The 24418-nt window shown below is 35.7% G+C and overlaps 1 protein-coding gene across 4 annotated transcripts in view; it reads right to left on the reverse strand.

Annotated features, from left to right (window-relative positions):
- LRP1B (LDL receptor related protein 1B) overlaps positions 1–24418 on the reverse strand; it is a 1899594-nt gene that overhangs the window by 298069 nt on the left and 1577107 nt on the right. For all 4 annotated transcript variants that reach the window (NM_018557.3, XM_017004341.2, XM_017004342.1 and 1 more), the window contains 4 exons: positions 12288–12480; positions 11482–11607; positions 7090–7218; positions 4530–4649 (listed from right to left, as the gene is read on the reverse strand). In NM_018557.3, coding sequence (NP_061027.2) covers positions 4530–4649; positions 7090–7218; positions 11482–11607; positions 12288–12480 — 568 coding nt within the window. The remainder of the gene's footprint in view (positions 1–4529; positions 4650–7089; positions 7219–11481; positions 11608–12287; positions 12481–24418) is intronic.

A 24418-nucleotide genomic window follows, 5' to 3' on the forward strand; every position in this document is an offset into this window, starting at 1 on the left:
ATCTTTTATTTAATTATTTAATTCACCCCTTAGGTTCTAAGGGTGCACAAATCTAGAAGGAATGCCGATTTCTTCTCCAGCTATGTTTATCCTTTTCCTTTAGCTTGTTGTTTATGGAATCTTTCAAAGGTTTGCTATGAACTTAGGAAAAAACAAATGCCAGTTTCCTCTCCTTTAGGGAGGATCAGAACTGCTAGTTCCCAGTCTACCTAAAAGTACTTCCATAGCCCAAAGAATTTCATGTACTTCCCAAAGGGAGCAGTCTGTACTCATCTCAGCAGGGAAGGAAGCATATCATGCACTCTTCCTGAATATATTCACTCGACCTGCCATGCAACCAGAAGAGGAGTACAAAATGACGAACTTATGAACAATGCCTCATCTCCCCACCTCCAGATGGCCTGAAGTCTAAAGCTCTCCTGTCATGAAAGGGCCTCTATAAAGGGGCAGTAAATTAAAAAAAATGATGAAGATTTGGCATGTTTCTTTTCCCCAAAAAGAGAAGAAACCAAAAGCAATTCATTGCAACACCCTTTCTACTCTGTAAACAGACTCTCTACTCTTGTGAAATTTAAAAAACAGTAATAATTACTACTGACATCTAAATTCAGCAAAGTATAATAGTACTTTAGATAATTTACAGATGGCTCCACCATAGCCTCTTACTACAGTCTATCAAAATCTCCCTGTATATACTGACTTCCAATTGTATCACTTTATCTTTTATATTTTATTTTGATTAAAAAGTGATAGGTGATTTGTGTGTCTGCATATATGTACAAAAAAGCACTGCATCTCTTCATTGCACTGACAATAGAAAGAGAGAAGGGGTAACTGGAAGAAAGGGCTTGGAAAGAGACCTCTTTTCCATTCTCCCTGAGCCATTATCTATGCCTTTTCCTTTATCATCTTTTTGTACTATAAGGGAGATATTTGGTGGAAACACATTTGCATAATATAAGTCTTTATCAGACAGCCCGGCTTATGGGTTATGGACCCAGGGAAGTCTTCCTTCTATATCTTGAAAGGTACTCTACAAGGACACTATGTTAATAAACTTAAAATGAGAGAAAAATCAAAACTAAAAGATTCAAGTAAGAGTAATCTTTCATCCAAATAGCTACCCATTCGTTTATCCTAAAGGAGCTGGTCCATTGAATTAAATTCACTAATTTCTATTAAGTAATAAAGTATATGCTTGTGTTTCCATGAGAAATTTTAGTTTCAAATGTCCTGCATTCAGCGTGACCAGCTTTAAGGCATAAGTTTTGCTTGTTTATTTTTAAGATATCCAACTGTTATAATTTTACCATAAAAGAAAGGTTAAGGGAGAAGCTTCATTTGCAAAGGCACTGTTCTGCGCCCAAGAGTATGACTGAGATAGTTATAACACAGAAATCAAGAGTTTCGACTAAAAAAGAGGAAATATCTATTTGAGTTATTTTATTGTTATTCAGCAGCTGGTATTGATATCATTAGGCAGAATAAAATCTATTTATATTTTAGAAGACTTACTGCTTCAACCAGCCACATAAGAATTTAATAAACACCTACCATACATGAGGTATTATATTTCATAAACCCAAACACACTAATTCATTTACCACTTTTGAAAATATACTTTCATTTCTGGAGAAAACCCATAGTAACATATCATCTTCCCATAGTTTCTTTTGATGAATCTTGCCTTAAAATCTATTTTCTGTATTTATTGCTCAGTTCCTGCACATTCTTTCTTGATAGCTTTACCTTTAACCTGGCTTAATGCCTATATTATATTTTCCTCTCCTGCTTACAAATAATTGACAGAACCTATCTATTTCTAGGTCTTCTCATTTCTTTTCCTCCTTTCTTCCAAATGCTAATTTATTTCTCTCCGCTTACTTCCAGTGTCTGACTATATTTGACTTTTTAAAATCTTTTATGGGTACTAGGTAACTTAATTGGCAAATGTAATTAGCTCTTCCTAAACTACAGTGTCAACCTTAGATGATAATCTATGCAAGTGTTTCCCCAAAGTCACACTGTCTAAGATGGCAGAGTAACTTCCCAACATTCCATACAGCTATGAAATAATTTGCACACATTCTGCCCTCTTCCTCAACTCTGCATAGTCCTCTCATCACAACTGTACTTCATACCTTTCCTTTACATCAATCTTTTCTAAAAACTGTTTACATTCACTGTCTTTACTCCCTTACCACCCATTTTCTGTCTTCAACCAACGTGCTCTTGCTTTCCTCTACTGTTCCACTGAACTGACACACATGAATGTCATCAAGCGAGTATCTACTATTGGCCAAATATGACGGATACCTCCAGTTCATGCCTGCCCTCTTACCCTTTCTGTAGCACTTGAAAATGCTGAATGATCCTCCTTTCTTGAGAAAATAATTTCTTAAGCATATCCCTCTATTAGTCCTGCAGGCTACTTCACCTTTTCATATATAATTTGTTATTTAAATAAGTAATTTTGATGCACTCTACTCATGCAATCATTACTCCACACTTCCTCTGAGTTTTTCTCCTTAATGAGCCCCAAATCAATACTTCTGATCAACATCTATTACCTGAGTTCCAAATCTCTACCTATCTACATGCCTGTGAAACAGCTTCATTTAGATTTCCTCAAGTGCTCCAATCTCAAAATGCAAACCATCCTTATTGTCTTATCCCCATTCCCACACAAACAAATCTTATTATTATAGGTTTCGTTAACACAATCCTATTCTTTTCATTCCTTTTTGAAATGTAAATTTGATTATATTTGGCCTGCTTTAAACCTTTAGTGACTTTCTAGTGACTACAAGAAAAAGTTTGAGTTACTTCACATGGCACAAAATGCACCTTCATGCCCTGGCTCCTTCCCATACCTTCTCTGTTTTTTGTTTGTTTGTTTGTTTTGGTTTTTTTGGGGGGTGGGGGGTATGGAGTCTCACTCTATCACCAAGCTGGAGTGCAGTGATGTGATCTCAACTCACTGCAACCTTCACCTCTCGGGTTCAAGCGATTCTCCTGCCTCAGCATCCCGAGTAGCTGGGACTACAGGCGAGTGCAACCACGCCTGGCTAATTTTTGTATTTTTAGTCGAGATGGGGTTTCACCATGTTGACCAGGATGGTCTCAATCTCTTGACCTTGTGATATGCCCACCTCAGCCTCCCAAAGTGCTGGGATTACAGGCATGAGCCACCACGCCTGGCCCTTCTGTTTTTACCACTCTCTTATATGTAATCTGTCTGTGACTATATCAAATTACTTTCAGTTTCAATGGTAGTCCCTCTACTTGGAATTCTCTTTTGTTTCATTCATTCTACCTTATTTTTAGTTTAAGACTCAGTTTAAATTCAGTATAGCCTATGAAACCTTTGAGGATACTTGCAAGCCAAAAAACAAAAAAGACATATGGGTGTTCTTACGTGTGCAATCACAGCACAAGATATATATATATATATATACACATATATATCTCGATCTGTTTACATGGCTGTCTTAGAGTTAGAATTTGATATTCTTGAGTACAGGCACGTGTCTCATGAATTTTGCGTCTCGAACCTTAATGCATTGCACTCAATAAAGTGTGTTCATTGAATGGCAAGTCTCTAAAGTGATAATGCTTTGGAAATATCTGTGGGGTCCAGATTTAAGAAGGCTTTCAATGTCAGACTAAAACTTATCATTTATTCAGCAAACATTGGTATTCCATTAAAAGTTTCTTTATCAATGCAATATACATATATATATAAAAGCCAGTGCTAACATAGCATACACTATTGCCAAATACTGTTCTAACCTTATTTAATATTGTTTTTCTTATTTAATTATTTTTTCTACCTTGCTATTTGGGAAACTGAGACACAGAATAGTTAAGTGTGATATCCAAATTTAGACAGTAAAGTGTTGGGGCAGCAGTTCTAACTCAGGTAGTTTGGCTTCATCATCTATCCTAATAGTCACTTTTGGAAAATGTTAAACAGTATTAGCATGACTGATGACATAGGGATGAACTGGAAAAAGTATAGGCAGGGAAACCAGGTAAAGGCATACTCTGTTAGCCCAGGCTTAAAGTGGATTGAAATGGAAGATATTTCAAAGAACTGGAAGATTTGTTGATGACTGGATATGTGGGAAGGAGAAATTAAGGAGAACACCAAAGTTTCCCGTCCAGTGGTTAGGAAAATGTGATCATGAGTAAAACAGAGAACTAAGGAATAAAGGGGAACATTTTTGGAACAGAAAATTCAATATTACACATTCTGGTAGAAATGTCCGAATCCAGGAAGGTGGAACTGAAGAGGCGAGAAATTATAAGAGTTTTAAGGGGAGGAAAGGAGTAGAAAACAGAAATGGAGAACACAGTCAGAATTTTCAAGTAACTTTAGCAACTCCATTCCAACAGCATTTACCAAAGTGTGATCCATAGATGTTACTAGGTGTTATATGCCACAGAGCTCTCAGAAACGAATGTTGGAAAAGTTCAGGAAACACTTAGCACACCAATATTCTGAGATTGATGGAACAAGTATTTACCTTTACAATCTAATTCATCAGAGTTGTCTCCGCAGTCATTTTCTCCATCACATAACTTGCCATGAGGAATGCAGCGGCGATTATAGCATGGCTTGAAGCCTCTTCGACAGCTTCTGTTTTCTTATAAATAAAAGTAGAAACACACAACCAGAGATCATATAGAAATATTTGTACAAAATGAAAATCACAGATAATATTTCATTCATAATGACTGGATTATGGATCTATAAAACAAGTGCTGTGCCATATAATAGCTCTGGATTAGAATGTTTATGTGTTGTCAAAGAGCAGTTCATTCAGCAAGGGCCCTTTTTGACTTAGTGTTTTAACTTTAGTGATTCATTCCGGGAGATCTTTTCAAGTTATACCCACGTTATTGTTTCTGGCACTTCTGTCAAGTAGCACAGAAATAAACATATATCACATATTCAATTCTGAAGCAATAAATATGTAACTCAAATGTAACAAAAACACACCAACATCCATTTCCTATATCCTTTGCATCTATCTGCAAGGATTTTATAATAAGGAAATAAAGCAACAAAGCACGTATTCCTGAATCAGTGTCTCATGGAGTCATCTAAATATCAATAAATTTCTCTTAAAAATTATCTTAAAATATCTACAGAATTCCCTGAGAAAGAATTACCTTCTGAGTTCTATTTACCATTATGAAAGTTTCTTGACATTCTCTGATTTGGGGCAGAAGCTACCACTTACAATAATAATAGCTGCCACGTATTAAATGCCAGCTTTGCCCCAGGCTCTGTATTGAGTATATGTAGATAAACACTTGCTGGTTTCATGCTCTCGACTACCATAAGAGCTAGTTGTTTCGTAGTGGAAAACCAAAACACAGAGAAGTGAGTTATGTTACTTACCCTAGTCACACTAGGGTTTGCAAACTAGGCTAATTACACTAGCAGGTTTGGGAACAAAGATTTAACCTCAGGTGTGAGTCCAAAGCCCATACTCTACACCTGGCATTGGCAAACTATTGCCCATAGGCCAGATCTAGCCTGTGAGACTGTTTTCGTATGGCTCTGGGACTAAGAATAGTTTTTACATTTTTAAAGGATGGTAAATAATAAACAACAGAGGATATGTGACAGAAAGCATATATGATCCACAAAACCTAACATATTTACCAGCTGAACCTTTACAGAAAATGCTTGCCAACTCCTGCTCTACACAAATATCATCTGACTTCTACAAAGATAAAAATAACATGAAATATAATCTCAAGTCAACTTATAGTAAATGCAAGCCTGTGACTTTATTGCAATACAATTTATATGCTTTAATATTTTTATATCTTATAGAATATAGCCATTCATTAAAGCGAATATGTTGAGACAAATTCTTTAAGACATTGGTTACACATCAATTATGGACAAATTACATTAGACTCTCATTTTAAACGATGGTGTGTTGTCTTGTAACGTAAAAGAGTGAGAAGATGTCTGTGGATCTCACAGATTCTGTCTTTCTCTTATTCTAACTTTTCTTTAATTATTTAGGTGTAATTATTACCCGGATAATGGAATAGAGGAGAAAAGCAGATATAAAATGAGGCAGTTTCAGATGTAGATTCCTAAATTTTGCATAGTACACGATCCCAATGCTATTGGATTTCTAGGATTAAAAATAAATCAGGACAATTTTTTAAAAATCTGGATCAAATATACAATGATTATCAATGATCATGCAAAGACATATTTCCAGGAAAAAATATTGTTGCAATGAAGGGAAATCTCAGTTGCTTACTAGAGTATAAAAGTTAATCTCTACTCCTGAGGGTAGATGTTGACTATCACTTGGTGTTGCCAAGAGAAGCATAGCTGGTGCAATTCTATGTTTGATGTGGACCATGCCTAAGGCAATGAGCCTTTGTACCAAAGGACACTAGCCCCCATGCTAATCCTGGAGACAGAAATAGAATCGACAAGACTTTGATAACAAGCCAACGATGTGCTATTGTCTGTTGGTGAAACTCTGCTTCAGAGTAAGCCTGTCCATATCCAAAAATCACGATGTTTCTGAGTTACATTTTAAAGAAAGTAAGCCTAAAACCTATTGCTAAAGATGAATAAGTCGGGGGTTCAAAAGATTAGCTACTACTTTGAAAAATATTCACATTCTGGCTGGGTGTGGTGCTCAGAATGTGAATATTTTTATTCACATTCACGGAGTGCTGTTATCCTAGCACTCTGTGAGGCTGAAGTGGGAGGATTGCTTGAGCTCAGGAGTTTGAGACCAGTCTGGGCAACACAATGAGACCCCGTCTCTTTAAAAAAAAAAAAAAAAAAAAAAAAAAAAAAAGGCTATTTTGTGGATAGAAAACCATGAGGAAATTATTTAGTGAATATCATGGCTATCAAACAGGAGATAAAGTACCTCATTTTAACACAAGCAAAGCCACATCAATTGCCTTAGATACAGGTTAATGAGAGACATTAAATAAATTATCCACGTAAACCACACCGAGACAAGCAAACCAAAAACTGTAAAGAATCAGAAAACTTTATCTGAAACGAGCAAACCCATATTGGACACTTACCACAGTAGAGCAGTTTTTCATCTGATTTATCTTTACAGTGAGGAATGCCATCACAGGTGAGCTGGTAGTCAATGCACTCACCATTTCCACATTCAAACTCCGAATAAGCGTTGCAGGAGGAATTTTTAGCTGCAAGAAAAAAAAAAAAAGTCAATACTTTTGTGCAATGGCAAATATTTTTTGACACCACTACAATTATTTTTCTTAATTTTAATTATAAAGATAAACTAAAATTTATCAAAATGTACAATTAAAGAGCAATGGTTTATGACATTTCTTTATGAAATTAAGATCTTAAGAAATAATTTTTTGGCCAGGCGCGGTGGCTCACGCCTGTAATCTCAGCACTTTTGGAGGCTGAGGTGGGTAGATCATGAGGTCAGGAGATTGAGACCATCCTAGATAACATGGTGAAACCCCGTCTACTAAAAATACAAAAAATTAGCCAGGCATGGTGGCACGCGCCTGTAGTCCCAGCTACTTGGGAGGTTGAGGCAGGAGAATTGTTTGAACCCGGGAGGCAGAGGTTGTAGTGAGTGGAGATCTTGCCACTGCACTCCAGCCTGGGCAACAGGGTGAGACTCTGTATCAAAATAATAATTATTATTATATATAAGAATATATAATATAATATATAATAATAATATAATAATTATTATTATTGTTTTTTAAAACAGCCAGTTAAATGAACTCTGTACATACTGAAAGTGTTTTTGTGTTTTCTTACTGGGATCTATTATATATTTTTCAATATACTACTATTTTTCAGTGCATAGAGTACCCATTTTTGAATGTTTGATGTGAATCATCTCAGTCAAATGAACAATCCGGACTTTTCCCCACCGTCTGGTCTTCCTCCCTAACTATCTTCTGATGAAACCTCAGTAGCAAGTTATATTGTTTGGAAATATTAGAATTGTTAAAATAAGTCACTTGTCCCATCCATGTGTGGGAGGTTCCCGGGAGCAGACTCTTTCTTGCTGCCATACATGATGAGCACCTACTCCATGAAATGTACAGGAATCAGTGGGATGAGGTGCAGGAGGACAATGGTCAAGTGGAAAGCATGTGTACCTGATGCTATGGACTCCAGATGACCGCTGTCAGAAAGTCACATTTCTAAATCTCAGAATTTTTATTAAAAATTAAGAGTTTGAGTTTTTAGGTGATTTGTCCTAGTTTGTAAGCCAAGAGTCTGAAAGTACAAAAAGTTATTTTCTACAGGTGAGTTTCATCCTTATAATGGCAATATGTGATCCCTATTTTGAAGGGTCTCTATTGAGGACAATGGACTTATTTTTATTATTCAGTAATAGATTTACTAGCAAATTTTGGGATCCAATTTTTGGGGTATACTGTCTGCTTGCATGTACGTACTCACCCCATTGCTTGCTGAATAATTGTACGTTTAAATCCAGTTGTATTAATTATGTTGGAGGTAAGTAGAATTCATTCATCTCTGCTAATGAAAGAATATAGCTTAATTCTATAATTTAGTATTAATTTTTGAGCTTTAGTTCAGGAATATTCAATTAAACAGCCACTAATACTATTTGAAGTTTCCAAGGTTTTATTTATTTATTATTCCTAGAATTTAATTAATTTAGTAGAGGGTCTATCTAAGGCTTCTTTTTTATTTATTATGTCAACCTTTATTTTAGATTCAGCAGGTACATGTGCAGGTTTGTTACATGGGTTTACTACATGATACTGAGGTTTAAGATATGATTGATTCTGTCACCCGGGTACTGAGCATAGTACCAATAGTTAATTTTTCAACCTTTGTCCACCGTCTTTCTCTCCCCACTCTAACAGATCCAGGTGTCCATGGTTGCCATCTTTATGTCCATGAGCATCGAATGTTTAGCTCCCAGTTATAAATTAGAACACGTGGTATTTGGTTTTCTGTTCCCGAGTCAATTCACCTTATTTATTTGACTTCTAATTTAACTCTCTCGATGATAACAACATGTTCCAAAGATATATTTCTTTTCTCTTGGTGCAGTCTAAACTTCATTGTTCAGTCATTAGCTAAGGCAGAATGTCATTTAAGACAAGGTAGCAAATAATTTAAAACAGAACAATATTAAATTAAAAAAAATAAAAGGGTGCTAATATTGCTAAATGCAATCATCTTAGCATAGAACAAAATTCAGCCACTTCTTGAAAGTCTATTGAGATTCCTGACTTATTTTTCCTATTTTAAGTGTATATTATTTACTGTGTATTTTCCAATGAAAAAATAATTGTTAGGATGGAAAAGTCCATTTTTAATCTTTTATAATCTTAGTGCCTTTGGGGAAAAGACAAAAACTATTCAAAGATAAATATGTTTTTTACATTATGCAAAAACAAACATTGTATGAATACAATTCTTCCTCAGGTATGTTCATTTGATGAAATAGTATTGAGTGTTTTCTGCTTCTTTCTGGAAACATCATGGTTCAGCTGCCCTTATTCTCTTGCACAGCAATTACTTCATCTAATTATATTTACTGTATCTATTTCTTTTATGGATTACAATAAGATTAGCAATGTTGTAAGCAAGGGGACTGCCTAATCTTCTTGTCAACAGTTATGACAACAAATGGTTTTCCCTCCTTTGCCCTCAGGTAGGTGTTAGTACATGGCCTTTCACCCCTTTAATGCTGCCATTAACATTCATGAACCACTCTGGGTAAAATCACTTAGATGAGGACACAGATGTGCCAGAAACATTCTCATGTTCCTAAAGATAAATTTGACAAGGAGGAGCCAAGAGTTACTTTCTAATCTCTCTGCTGGGCTACAGGATTTCAATATGAATGCACAATGGACGTCGTCTGCCTCTACAACAGATTGTGAGCTCTGGGAAATCCAATATCACTCTACAGTTCCATGTGAATACAATTGTGCTTGTTTAAGATGTCAGTTTTCTTCCTGATTCATTTCCTCTCGTCAACAGAGAGAAGCTTAGTAGGGACAGTTGTATTGAAGGTATTATGCAGCAAGGACAGGCCTCCACCGAACAGAAATAAGCTTTGCCATTTTGACTAAAGGCATTGCTTCACTACTAGCCTGAAGTGACCTGTGAAAGAAACATGAGTGATTCTAACGCATGGCTAACACTCCGGGCTTACAGATGGCATCAGATCCAGACCATTACAGCTGAAACCACAAAGGCAAACTGAAAGAGTTTAAGCAATTGCCTGAGCAATTCAGAGAAGTGTTAAGTGACAAAGAAATATGGGAATTTGTGGCCCGAAATATGGAAATTGGCCATCTGCATTTAAAATTTTGACCAATTGCATCATTTTCTCATTTGCTTTGGCATAGTCTTAAATAAATCAACTTTTACTTTTTTTGCTAAGAGGTGCCTTTTTGGGTTGTAGTATCAACTTTCACAGTGAGAAAATATGTCTATGTTATTTTGTATATGGTATAAGAATTTTCAAGCTAAAGAAAATTATGCCCAAGCACTTGCATTGAAGAGCAGGTAAGAGATAAAATCCTTCCAGTGGAAAGAGAGTAAAAATCGACTGAAGATGAAGATGAAAAATACTTATTTTTATTATGTAGACATATCCAACTCTGTTAATTTTCTGAATGAAAAGATATGAGATGAGGATATATTAATAGGTGAGGAGAGACAAAAAATGTATCAAATCTGACACATCCTGAGAATGATTTCACTGATTTCCAACAAGATATTTCTCTCCTACCTTATACATAAATTGCCTTAACGTTAAAAGGAAATTAACCTTTTTTAAATTTTGCTTGCAAATTTTTCATGGCAATATTGAAACACTTGAACCCTGATTTATTTTGGAAACAGTTTTGGAAACTTAGCTGTTAATAAGTGTGTATTGTAATGGTGCTAATTAAAGTTTGTAATGCCTTTGGGAGGTATAAACACCATGCAAGGCTGCAATGTTGCATTCTTAATTAACAGTTTGGAAATGATTACACATAAGCTGCATGAGCCATTCTCTCTCATTTACATACTATGATGGACTGTGAGTGGTTTTACTGCAAGGCTACTGATATACTGCCTGTATACCAGTTTATTTCAGCTTCAATTACTTTTGCTATTGATTGAATTCACAAAGTCACAACTGGAAGTTTTCAGATGATCATTGTGTGCAGACACTTCTCTAGCTAGCCCCAGCACTTTCTAGTGCACAACAGGAGGGTAAAAACATTTGTTACCATTTTGGTTATCACTAACTAGCACATGGTCCTATAACTAAGCAGAACAGTGAACTCGGTTTTCTTTAGAGCAGAGAGATAACATGACTAAGCTTCTAATATTAGAAGAGAGTATAACTTCATGAATACACTAACACAATTTCAGTGATGTGTGTGGAATTTGGAACAGATTTGTCATATTACATTTCAATTCCCTTTACTTACTCACACATCTGTTGTCCTCTAGCAATATTCGGTCCCCTCTGCAGGAACAATTCACTCTCCCATTGGGAGTTAAAAGGCACAAGTCATGGCAGCCTCCATTCAATAATGCACATGGAGAAAGTTCACCTACAATAAAGAGGGTGTATTGGTAACATTTTATATCGAATTCCTGTTCTATGTTAGATAAATATTAATCGTAAACTATTAGACTGCCTCAATCTCTCAATAATATGTCATTAAAAAGGAACATTCAGGATTTTTGAAAATCTAAGCATTCCTAAGGCTAAGTACATTACAAAAGTATGTAACACTAATCAAATCTTTCTAACACATTTGATACCACGGCATCAAATGAACTAGTTCTGCTAGAAACCACATTGATGCTTCAAACTGTAATTTTGTAAGCACTGCATTGACTAAAGAACTGTTAAGCCCAGGTGCAAAGTTTATCTATCAAGTGTAATTTTCATGGAAACAACTTGATCTGAAAATCTGAAGTTATGAAGAGTGAGGATGAAATAAGATTTTTAGAAGAAATAATTAAAAATGAACTGCTCCTGTGATGATAAATTATGCAATATAGAAGTTGCCTTGAATATTTCAGATAATTTCAATATTTTGAACAGCCAAATCTTGAACACTATTCCTAAGAACTAGAAAAAAACAAAATCCACAGTCATAGTAACAAAAAATAATATTTTTTAAAAGAAAAAGCAAATCCAACTATTACTAGAAAACATATATACATTTTTAGAGATCAGAGATTATACAATGAAAAAACACATTTGCTTTCTATTATAACTTACAGCTATTGGTGTCATTGGCAACAGCTATGATTCCCATTGGCTGATGTGGAATATCGGAACGAAGAATTTTTGTATCTCCTCCTGTGTACTTGTTGGACCGCAGTATAGCTCTTCTTCCCCAGTCCGACCAGAATATATAATTGTCATAAACAGCCAAACTGAGGAAAGTCCCTGGCCCAGATTTAACTATCACCTGAAATAAATTAAAATACTGTATTTTTATGATGAATATATAGACATTTATACGTCCACACCTATTTTTGCTTCAAAAATAAAAGATTAGGATTAGTTGGATTTAATTAACAGAAATCATCAGATAAAAATAAAATTTTACTAAATGAATTATGATAATATGCTTTATATTTTATTTAAAATGTTGTAGTCATTGTTAGTGCTTGCAGTGTGTTTACATAATATTTCAAGTATACTTTTATTTAATTATTCAATGTGTATAACAAGTGTATTGTTTTGTATTATAAACAAAAATCAACAAGCCAAAATATTAGACGAAGATTATCAACATTTATTAACCTTTAGTAAGAAATCACCAGATATATGTTAGATACTCATCAAGTTCCCAGAACTACATATGGCATATAAAGAACCATAAGATCTAGGTTCTTTCTTCAGGAAGTTCACCGCATGAGTGACTAAACTAGTTGCACATGTCTGAGAATAAAAGTTTAGAAGTAAAGACCATACTTTCACTCAGATCAAGATGGAGTAAAAGGGACTAGATTGATCTTTTCATCTAAAACAACTACACAACAGCAAAATATAGTAAACAACACTTTTCAACACATTGCACATCAGGAAATGAAAGGCAGTGATTCCTGGGTAATAGGAAATACTGGGTGCATCCCATGGCATCCACCGTTTACCAGAGAGAGATTATAGGTAGCAGCACACACAGGACAGAAACAGAGCCCAGAGAACTCCATGAATAAAAGTTACGGGAAGTGAAAGTTATGGGTGGCTATATCTCACTGGGCAGAGGGTCAAGAGTTGACAGTTCAGCAGAGGGAACTGTGGGTATCTGAAAAGAGTCATCCTGGAGCATTCAGTCAAGTACTGATAAGTGCGTGCACATGTGTGCGAGCCAACTCCTCCAGGCTGGTGAAAGAACCACAGGAAAGAATTAGAGAGGAGAGTCCCCAAGTTCACACGGGTCCAGAAATCATGCCTGTTAACACCAACCAGATTCAAATATTTAATTCAAATTCTAATTCATGAGACTCTGAGTACTCCGCAGGGTCTGCCTTAGCAGTGGGGAACTATTAACCTAGACTAAATAAACTTTGTTCTAGTCTTCTCTAACAAATCGTAAAAGCCAAGCCTGAAAGGAGAAAACTGTTTCAAACTAGCTTAACTGTCAATAATTTTTTATGAGAATATAAAAATGTATACCAGCAAAGTACTATGCAAGGAAAATATAAAAAGGAAGAAAATTCTCAAATCAATGACTTTTGCTTTCACTTTAAGAAACTAGAAGAAAAGCAACTTAAAGTAATAAAAGGAAGAAACTAAAGAAGGGAAATTTAAAAAAATAGAAGACAGAAAAACAATAGAGCGAAATCAGTAAAACTAAAAACTGGGTTTTTTTATGTCAATAAAATGGTTAATACATCATGATAAAATTAGGTTTGTCCCAGGAATACAACCTGATTCAATATTAAAAAATCATTCAGCATAATTCACCATAATAGCTGACTAAAGAAGAAAACTCATATACATGTCCCAATACATGCAGAAAAACCATTTGATAAGATATGGCTTCTATTATTGACAAAAACTCAAAAAATATGAATAGAAATATAACGAGGCACAAAACAGGGGTGATCACTCTCACTACTTCTATTTAACATTATCCTGGCGTTTCTAACTAGTATAATAAGGCAAAAATAAATAAATAAATAAAATAAAAAGAATCTACATGGGAAAAGAGAAGTCAAACTGTATTTATTTGCAGGTGACTAAATCTTCTACATAAAAAAACATTTAACAGAATCTACAACAAATGCTGCTAGAATGAATAAATTAATTTAGTAAAATTGCAGGATACCAGGCTGTTATTAAAAAATCAATTGTATTTCTGTATACTAGCTATGAACAATTGGAAATTGAAATAGGAAATAACTATTTACAATAGCCTCTACAAATATAAAATATTTAAATATGAAAACATGTACAAGAATCTGAAAACTATAAAACATTGCTAAGAGAAATTAACAAAATCCTAAATAAAGAGACGTATGGAGAAGAAGAAGTATAATATATATGTGTCATTTATCATCTTTACAATCTTTAAGTGCACAATTCAGTGGTAATAAAAACATTTATATTCCTTTAATAACTTTTAAGTTCAGGGGTATATGTGCAGGTTTGTTATATAGGTAAATTTGTATCACAGGGGTATTAACTTTTGAGTTCAGGGCATATGTGCAGGTTTGTTATGTAGGTAAATTTGTATCACAGGGGTATTAACTTTTAAATTCAGGGGTATATGTTCAGGTTTGTTATATAGGTAAATTTGTATCACAGGGGTATTAACTTTTAAGTTCAGGGATATATGTGCAAGTTTGTTATACAGGTAAATTTGTATCACAGGGGTTCACTGTACAGATTGTTTCATCCCTCAGGGATTTAGTACCCACTGATTATTTTCATTATTTTTCCTGATCCTCTCGCTCCTCTCACCCTCTGCCCTCCAGTGGGTCCCAGTGTCTATTGTTCTCCTCTATATGTCCACGTGTTCTCATCATTTAGCTTCCAATTATAAGTGAGAACATGTGATAATTGGTTTTCTGTTTCTGCATTAGTTTGCTAAAGATAATGTCCTCTAGCTCCATCCATATTTCTACAAAGGACAAGATCTTGTTATTTTTTATGATTGCATGGTATTCCATGGTATAAATACAGCACATCTTCTTTACCCAGTCTACCATTGATGGGCATTAGGTCGATTCCATGTCTTTGCTATTGTGAGTAGGGCTGTAATTAACATCCATGTGCATGTATCTTTACAATAGAATGATTTATATTCCTTTGGGTATATACCCAGTAATGGGACTGCTGGGTCGAATGGTATCTCTATTTTTAGGCCTTTGAGAAATCATCACACTGTTTTCCACAATGGTTGAAAACATTTTTCTTTTTCTCTACAACCTTGGCAGCATCTGTTACTTATTGACTTTTTAATAATAGCCATTCTGACTGGTGTGAGATGGTATCTCATCGTGGTTTTGATTTGCATTTCTCTAATGATCAGTCATGTTGAGCTTTTTTTCATATGTTTTTTCACTGCATATATGTCTTCTTTAGAAAAGTGTCTGTTTATGTCCTTTGCCCACATTTTTATGAGTTTTTTTTTTTTGTAAATTTAAGTTTCTTATTAATGCTAGGTATTAGTCCTTTGTCGGACTCATAGTTTGCAAAATTTTTCTTCCATTCTGTAGGTGGTCTGTTTACCCTGCCGATAGTTTCTATGGCTGTGGAGAGCTCTTTAGTTTAATTCTATTACATTTGTCAATTTTTGCTTTTGTTGCAATTGCTTTTGGTGCCTTTGTCATAAAATCTTTGCCTGTTCCTATGTCTAGAATGGTATTGCCTAGCTTGTCTTCCAGGGTTTTTATAGTTTTGAGTTTTACATTTAATTATTTAATGCATTTTGAGTCAGTTTTTGTATATGGTTTAAGAAAGGGGTTCAGTTTCAATCTTCTGCATATGGCTAGCTATTTATCCCAGCACCATTTATTGAATAGAGTCCTTTCCCCTTTGCTTGTTTTTGTCAGCTTTGTTGAACACCAGACAGTTGTAGGTATGCAGCCTTATTTCTGGAATCTCTATTCTGTTGCATTGGTCTATACGTCAGTTTTTGTATGAGTATCTTGCTGTTTGGTTACTGTAGCCCTGTAGTACAGTTTGAAGTCAGTTTGTGTGATTAGGACACCTTGACTATTTGGGCATTTTTTTGGTTTCATATGAATTTTAAAACCTTTTTTTTCTAGCTCTAGGAAGAATTTCAATGGTAGTTTAACCAGAATAGTATTTAATCTATAAATTGCTTTAGGTAGTATGGCCATTTTTAAAATATTGATTATTCGTATCCATGAGCATGGAATGTTTTTCCATTTACTTGTGTCACCTCCGACTTCATTGAGCAGTGTTTTGTAGTACTCCTTGCAGAGATCTTTCACCTCACTGGTTAGCTGTATTATTAGGTTGTGTGTGTGTGTGTGTGTGTGTGTGTGTGTGTGTCTGTTGCAATTGTGAATGGGACTGCATCTCTGATTTGGTTGTTGGTTTGGTAGTTGTTAGTGTACAGGAATCCTGGTAATTTGTGTACATTGGTTTTTGTATCCTGGGACTTTGCTGAAATTGTTTATCAGCTTAAGAAGCTTTTGGGCTGAGACTATGGTGTTCTCTAGATATAGAATCATATTGTCTGCAAACAAGGATATTTTGATTTCCTCTTTCACTTGGATGCCCCTTCTTTCTTTCTCTTGCCTGATTGCTCTGCCCAGGACTTCCAATACTATATTGAAAAGGGTTGGTGAGAGAGGGCATCCTTGTTGTATTAGTACATTCTTATGCTGCTAATAAAGACATACCTGAGACTGGGTAACTTATAAAGGAAAAAAGGTTTAATTGACCCACAGTTCAGCATGGCTGTGGAGGCCTCAGGAAACTTACAATAATGGCAGAAGGGGTAGCAAACACGTTCTTCTTAATATGGCAGCAGCGAGGAGAAGTGCAGAGCAAAGAAGGGGGAAACCTCTTATAAAACCATCAGTTCTTGTGATAACTCACTCACTATCATGAGAACAGCATGGAGGTAACCATCCTCATGATTCAAGTACCTCCCACAGGGTCCCTCCCGTGACACATGGGGATTATGGGAACTACATTTCAAAATGAGATTTGGGTGGAGACACAGCCAAACCATATCACTTGCCTTGTGCTGATTTTCAATCGGAATGCTTCCAGCTTTTGCCTATTCAGTATGATGTTGGCTGTGGATTTGTCATAGATGGTTCTTATTATTTTGAGATATGTTCCTTTAATACCTGGTTTATTGAGGTTTGGGGTGTTGAATTTTATCAAAAGCCTTTTTTGCATCTATTGAGATAATCATGTGTTTTTTTTGTATTTAGTTCTGTGTATGTGATGAATCACCTTTATTGATTTGCATATGTTGAACCAAGCTTGCATCCGAGGGATAAAGCCTACTTGATTGTAGGATAAGCTTTTTGATGTGCTGCTGGATTCAGTTTGCTAGTATTTTCTTGAGAACTTTTGCTATCAATGTTCATCAAGGATATTGGTCCGAAGTTTTCTTTATTTGTTGTATCTCTACCAGGTTTTGGTATCAGGATGATGCTGGCCTCATGGAATGAGTTGTTGAAGATTCCCTCCTCCTCAATTTTTTTGTACTAATTTCAGCAGGAATGGTACCAGCTTATTTTTATACATTTGGTAGACTTTGGCTGTGAATCATCTGGTCCTGGGTTTTTTTTGGTTGGTGGGCTATTTATTACTTTTCCATTTCAGAGCTAATTATTGGTCTGCTCAGGGATTCAATTTTTTTCCTGGCTCAATCTTGGGAGGGTATATGTGTCCAGGAATTAATCTATTTATTCTCGATTTTCTAGTGTGTGTGCACAGAGGTGCTCATAATATTCTCTGATGGTTATTTCTATTTCTGTGGGGTCAGTGGTAATATCTCCTTTCTCGTTTCTAATTGTTTATTTGGATCTTTTCTCACTTCTTCTTTATTAATTTAGCCAGTGGTCTATCTAGTTTATTAATTTTTTTTTCAGAAAACCAGCCCCTGGTTTCATTTGGAACAAATCTGTGCCTTCCTGTTATGTAATATAGGAAGTAATTCCTTCCTTTTATGGATAAATTATATGAGTGGAGGCACTGTGGCATACTTAGAATGAAGAAATGGGCCTTCTGCCTTACCAAATTCCAAGCCAAGAGAGCTTGGTAATCAGTATCCACTTTAGAACTATAGACTTTTGTGATTTCCGCTTGCAGAGTTGTTCTAATTTTTTGTATTTTAAAATCAAATTAAATAGCCTAAATATAATTTTTTAAATAAAGGTATCGATTTGATTATTTGGCCTCAGTATTAATATTCCAAACAGGACTCACTGGGTTACTTTTCCCTGTAATCAGGAAAAAAAAAAAAAAGAAACTTTTACAGGAATGATTACTGCAAAGGAATGGTAATCAAGAAATAAATATTTAGCAAAATAAACAAAAATTAATGCATATAATGATTCTAGCCAATAAGAGAATTATACAAAGTATTTAGTAAGTACTTATACATAGTATTCATTTAATTCTTAAGATCATTTAGGTAGGCAAGTATTATTGCAAATTGTATTCAGATATGAAGAGACGGGCTTGGAGAGATTTTGCAACTTGCCAACAGTGATACACCTCATTAATGTAGGATCTGGAACTTGATATAAGGTTTAACTCCAAATTATAACAGCAAATGTATCAAGCTTACATGCCAGTTACTAATTTAAGTGTTTTACTAATAAACTGTGAGGAAGACATAATCTTCTTTACATGTATGAGAAAGTTTAAACACAGAGAAATTAGGTAACCTGGCCAAAGTGGCAAAGTTGCACCCAGTGTTCACATTGTTAACCATCTTCTTATTTCATCTCCATATCCCAACCCCCTCCTTTTGCCACACATCGCCTCCTTAGGAATTAATATACTCTAACATTAAAACATTTAGCAACTACTGAAATTGGCATAGTTTGGAGAAAACAGATAATTTAAGGAATATGATAATTAAAAGAATACCACATCTCTCTCCCTCATCCTCTATCAAAATATAAATTGTCAGGCGTGGTGGCTCATGCCTGTAATCCAAGCATTTTAGGAGGCCAAGGTAGGCAGATCACCTGAGGTCAAGAGTTCGTGACCAGCCTGGCCAACATGGTGAAATCCCCGTCTCTACTAATAACACAAAAAATTAGCCGGGCATGGTTGTGCGTGCCTGTAATCCCAGCTACTCAGGAGGCTAAGGCAGGAAAATCGCTTGAACCCGGGAGGCAAAGGTTGCAGTGAGCCAAGATCATGCCACCGCACTCCAGCCTGGGTGACAGAGCAAGACTCTGTCTCAAAAAAACCAACACAAACAAACAAACAAAAACAAAAAAACTGTAAATTATTGTGAGGTAATTAACAACATTATCTTTCTGATTTCCCAAAACCCTGCCACATTCATTCTAAATTAACTGCTAATTACCCTCCCATATGAGCAATCACTTCCATTTTTTTTCAGAATATATAAGTAATTTCTGTTTTATGAATCAATATTTATCAAACTTCAACATGCATCTGAATCACTTTGAGATGTTGTTGAAATTCAGACTTGGATTCACTAGGTCAGGTATTGACCCTGAGATTCCGCATTTCTCAGAAGCTTCCAGATGCCAATGATGCTGATTCAGGGACTCACTTTGGGTAGCTGAGAATTTTAAAATAAAGAAAAGTGGGAAAATAAACAAAATAATAATCTTGCCACACGGATATATAAGTATTCACCAATTTGGACTAGAAATTTATATTTCTTTCCTTTTCTACCTTACAAATTGGTATCAAATGTATGCTTTTGTATTCAATTAAAAGTGAGTTGATGGGACTTCTGCTGCCAGCCAAAATGGTGTAAGCCCACTACAGCCTATCTGTCCAACTCACTGCAACTTTCTCATTGTATCACTGTCATGGAGACGAGAAAAGAAAAGCAGTAATGGAAAGTTGAGTAGCAGCACATAGAAGGACAGGAGCAAAGTAAAATACTATTTTTACTGTCACTGTTTATGTTTTGTTTTCCCTACTTTGCATCTGGTGCTGCCCAGTAAATGAAACAGCTGTCAACACGCTAGGTACGCCTTTGCTACTTACTCTCAAAGGGTATAGTTTCAATGTCCCTTTTAGTTCCCATTAGTTTCCCAAATTCACACAGAGATCATGGGGAGATGGTGGCGGCCTTGCATTAGCTCTGCAAGCATACAGCGGGGCCTAGCATCGGCTGTAGTGTTGTGAGTTGTTGTTGTTTTTTTTTTCAATACTTTAAGTTCCGGGGTACATGTGCAGAACGTGCAGTTTTGTTACATAGGTATACACGTGCCATGGTGGCTTGCTGCACCCATCAACCCGTCACCTAGATTAGGTATTTCTCCTAACACTCTCCCTCCCCTAGCCCCCACCCTCTGACGGGCCCCGATATGTGATGTTCCCCTCCTTGTGTCCATGTGTTCTCATTGTTCAACTCCTGCTTATGAGTAAGAACGTGAGTCGTTGTGAGTTTTGAGGCCTTTGCACTGCACCTGCTCAAATGACCTGGCTGCACTCAAGACTTTTAAAAACCTGGATTGAAAATTGCAACCCCATAGGAGTATTTTGGCATTGAACTGGGGGGTTTCTTCATCTGTTTTCTTTTCTAAGCGCTTCACTTCATTACCCACTGCTATGCAGATGGTTTGTCCAACTTCTTTGTCTTTTCCTCCTAGGGGAAAGAGCACAGTACTCAAAGTGACAGGCGCTGGAGCACTACAAAGTACCCTAAGTTGTGAGTAAAATAAAATTTTAACCTGAAAAAAGCAAATATCCCCAAACTTCAACCTTTTTAGAGAGGAAAGGAAAATGTCTACCTTTATCTGTAATATATTAGAACATCCCATTTTACAAAATGACAAGAGAGTTCTTTCTTAAGTTCTCTTGTGCTTAGAAAAATTTTATCAATGTAAGTGCAGGACACACTGCTGTAAAACAGTGATTTTCACATCACTGTCAGTCCTCCAAACACACACACACATGCAAACAAACACGCACTGGAGGCTTGGAAAACTAATGCAGAAGTTTATCCTATTGGAAATCTGAAACGACTGCTAATACCTAGTAAGTACACAGATTAAATATAGTATTTCTCGTTTGGATTTCTTTAGAGATAGCATGTCATTTCCTAGTCAGTATTTCAGGAATATAAAAAGTCATCTGTAATAGTATTATGAACTGAGTGTTTGTGTCCCCTTCCCGCAAATTCAGGTGTTGAAGCCCCAGTATGATGATAATTGGAGGTGGGGCCTTTAGAGGTAATTAGGCTTAGACAAAGTCATGTAGGTGGGGCCCCAGTGATGTAATTAATGTCCTTATAAGTAGAGGAAGAGAAATGAGAGCCCTTTCTCTCTGTCATGTGAGGACACAGCAAGAAAGCAGCTGTCTGAAAGCCAGGAAGCGGTAAAGCCATCACTAGACCCTCATCATGCTGACACCTTGAACTCACATTTTCCAGCCCCCAGAATTGTGAGAAATAAATCTCTGTTGTTTAAGCCACCCAGTCTATGGCATTTTATTATAGCAGCCTGAGCTAAAAGCCACACTTTGAGATTTACAGCTGCTTTAAATTTTAGTAAATATATATTTTTAAAATCAGTATGAAGGACAGATTGCTTGCTATGAGAGTGTAAAAATAATAACTGCTCTGGTATGCCATCTAAGATTGTCCTGGGAAAGGGAAGGGCAAATAAGCAAAGAGGAGGGGGACTGGGAAGAAAGGACTTTGACAGAGGGAATATTTGGTGCAAAATCCAACAACAACAGGGAGCATGAAGTGCTGGGAAACTGAACAAAGGCTAAGTGAGTATGACTCTCCCTCAGACATCTGAGAAGGACACAGGCCTGATGAGAAAGGCAGGAAGGGCTAATATATAACACATTCCTTTCTACAGGCTATGGTTTGTGATTCTGAGTTTTATTCTGAAAGCAGCGGTCAGCTATTAACATTTTTAAAGCAGGTTAATGTCATTATTGGTTTGTAGTTTTAAAGATTCTGCCTCTGCTGTACAGACTAGCTTAGATAAGAACCAAAAGAGTTTCAGAGAGACCAGTCAAGATCCAGAACATTCATCCAAAGTATAATACTTCTGATATTTTGAGTAAGAGAGAAAAGTGAAGAACCCAATTAATACAGCAGTATGTACAAATGAAAGACTCCCTAAATCACATTTTACCAGAATTCATGAGTTTTCATCCTTTTTAGTTATCAGTAAGAGCTAACATTTCATGGATGCTTTTAATGCACAGGAAGTATATGTATTTCATGTGCAATACATAATTTAATCTACATAATAACCCCTGTGATAGATACTATTTTAAACCACATTTTACTGGTAATGACTGAAGCTTGAAGAAGTTAGCTCAAGGTCACAGATTTACTAAGCAATCTGATACAACGTCAGACTCGAAGCATCCAAGATTTGAATTAATTTTGACTTGGTGACAGGGACTAGAGAAACTCTTTTTTGATTTATTAGCAGGTGTATATGTGCTATTTTTATAATTAAATTGATGCCCCTTCAAGTTAGGGAAGATAGTCATTTCTTTGATTTCCCTAGTATCGTATTACAGACTAATGAAATAGACCATCAACAAACATTTTTGAATCATTAAGAATGAAAATGTTGATACTTGACATAAATAAAAACAGTTATTATGGATATTCTTATGAAAAATGACAGTTTTTCAATGTTATCACCAGAAGCCATTATAACAACCTTTTATTAACTTTAACACTAAGTCTAATAGTTTAGTTTTTACTTCTGCTGACATAGAGAGAGGAGAAAAAAATATTAAATTTAGTCCATAATTATGCACGTTGCCTTTGTAGGGTACAACAAGTTTCACTAAGAACTGAGCTAACTCCTGCCATCTCGTTTTTCATTAAATTTCATATGGAACAGAAAATGAAATCCATTAAATTACCTGTTTCAATTTCCATGTTAAAACACTTCTATTAAAAGTTCATGAATGCTGCCCCTTACAAGCCTAGTCAGAGTCTTTATGTAGAGCGCAGAAGCCTTGTCATCACAAATTGCACTCTACCATGCTATATGGTAATGCACCATTATGGCATAATCTTAAGGCACTTTTAGCTTGATCCTAGAAATGGGTTCATGTTTCAAAATGGTAATTCATGTTTCTTCACAAAACACATTTCTTGACACAGCTACTTATTCTTAAGTGTGTCGTCATAGATAAACTATGTCTATATCTATTGTCATACAGACTTGAATTTTCTTTTTTCAGGAATTCATAGTCGCTAGTCACATGCCCTTTGCATCTTGGAACTTCACTGGTGCCTTGTTGGTGAAAGCACTCAAACCAGTAAAAAATAAACCTGAATGTAAAAATATTCAGTTTCATAAACCAGACAACATATTTCCAACACCCAGATGCTAAATGTTAAACCAAACGATTTAAAAACCAGGAACTGGGAGGCTTCCCAAACTCCCCAACTGATTGCCTCATTGACAAGATTATAAACAATCATTATGAGAAATGACAGCTTGGTCCCTGCCATGGCTGGGTATGATAGAATGTTACTGATTTCAAAGAAATGTGGTAAATTGGTAATGTGGTAAATCAGTAACTTAAAACCAAAAAACTAAAATAAAATATTTAATATAAAATAGATTATTATATTTAACTTACCTGAGGGAGTTTGTAGAACAAATACAAGATGCCTAAATGACACTAGTGTCTACCCAAATTTGTAAAGAACAACATTCAAAGCATTGATCTAAAATATTCCTTTATTGTGTCTATTGTGCTCTTAACACACACACACACACACACACACACATGCAATAAAGTTCCTTAATATTGAATATTCTATTTCTTCTAATAATCTCTAAGGAAACTCTTCTAATAGTGAAATCAACCCTCTAGATAACTACCTTCAAATAGAAAACATGATTGCCTAATTTCTATTACTCTGAGCTTCTCAGTATACCCTCAAGTCTTTAGGAAGATTGTATCAGTTAAGCCTGAAGCAAGAAATAGCTAGTGTGCTCAAATTACAATACTTTGAGGAGGGCTGAATCAAGGGACTCTTAACAAGGATTTTTGGAGAGTATAGGGACGCCATAAGTGATGGTAGAGGACCCTGGAGCTGTACATCCTTAGGTCTGAAAGGCCAATGAGCTGGAGAGGTTTTCAGAAGCCTAGAGAAGAGAGCCACATTGAGAAGAGCCACCAGCTTTCATTAAAGAGGCAGATCCTTCAGAGAGGGATTTTAAAGAATGAATCCCTTTGATTTTATG

This window comes from Homo sapiens, chromosome 2, assembly GCF_000001405.40.
Source record: "Homo sapiens chromosome 2, GRCh38.p14 Primary Assembly".
Classification (NCBI taxonomy): Eukaryota; Metazoa; Chordata; class Mammalia; order Primates; family Hominidae; genus Homo; species Homo sapiens.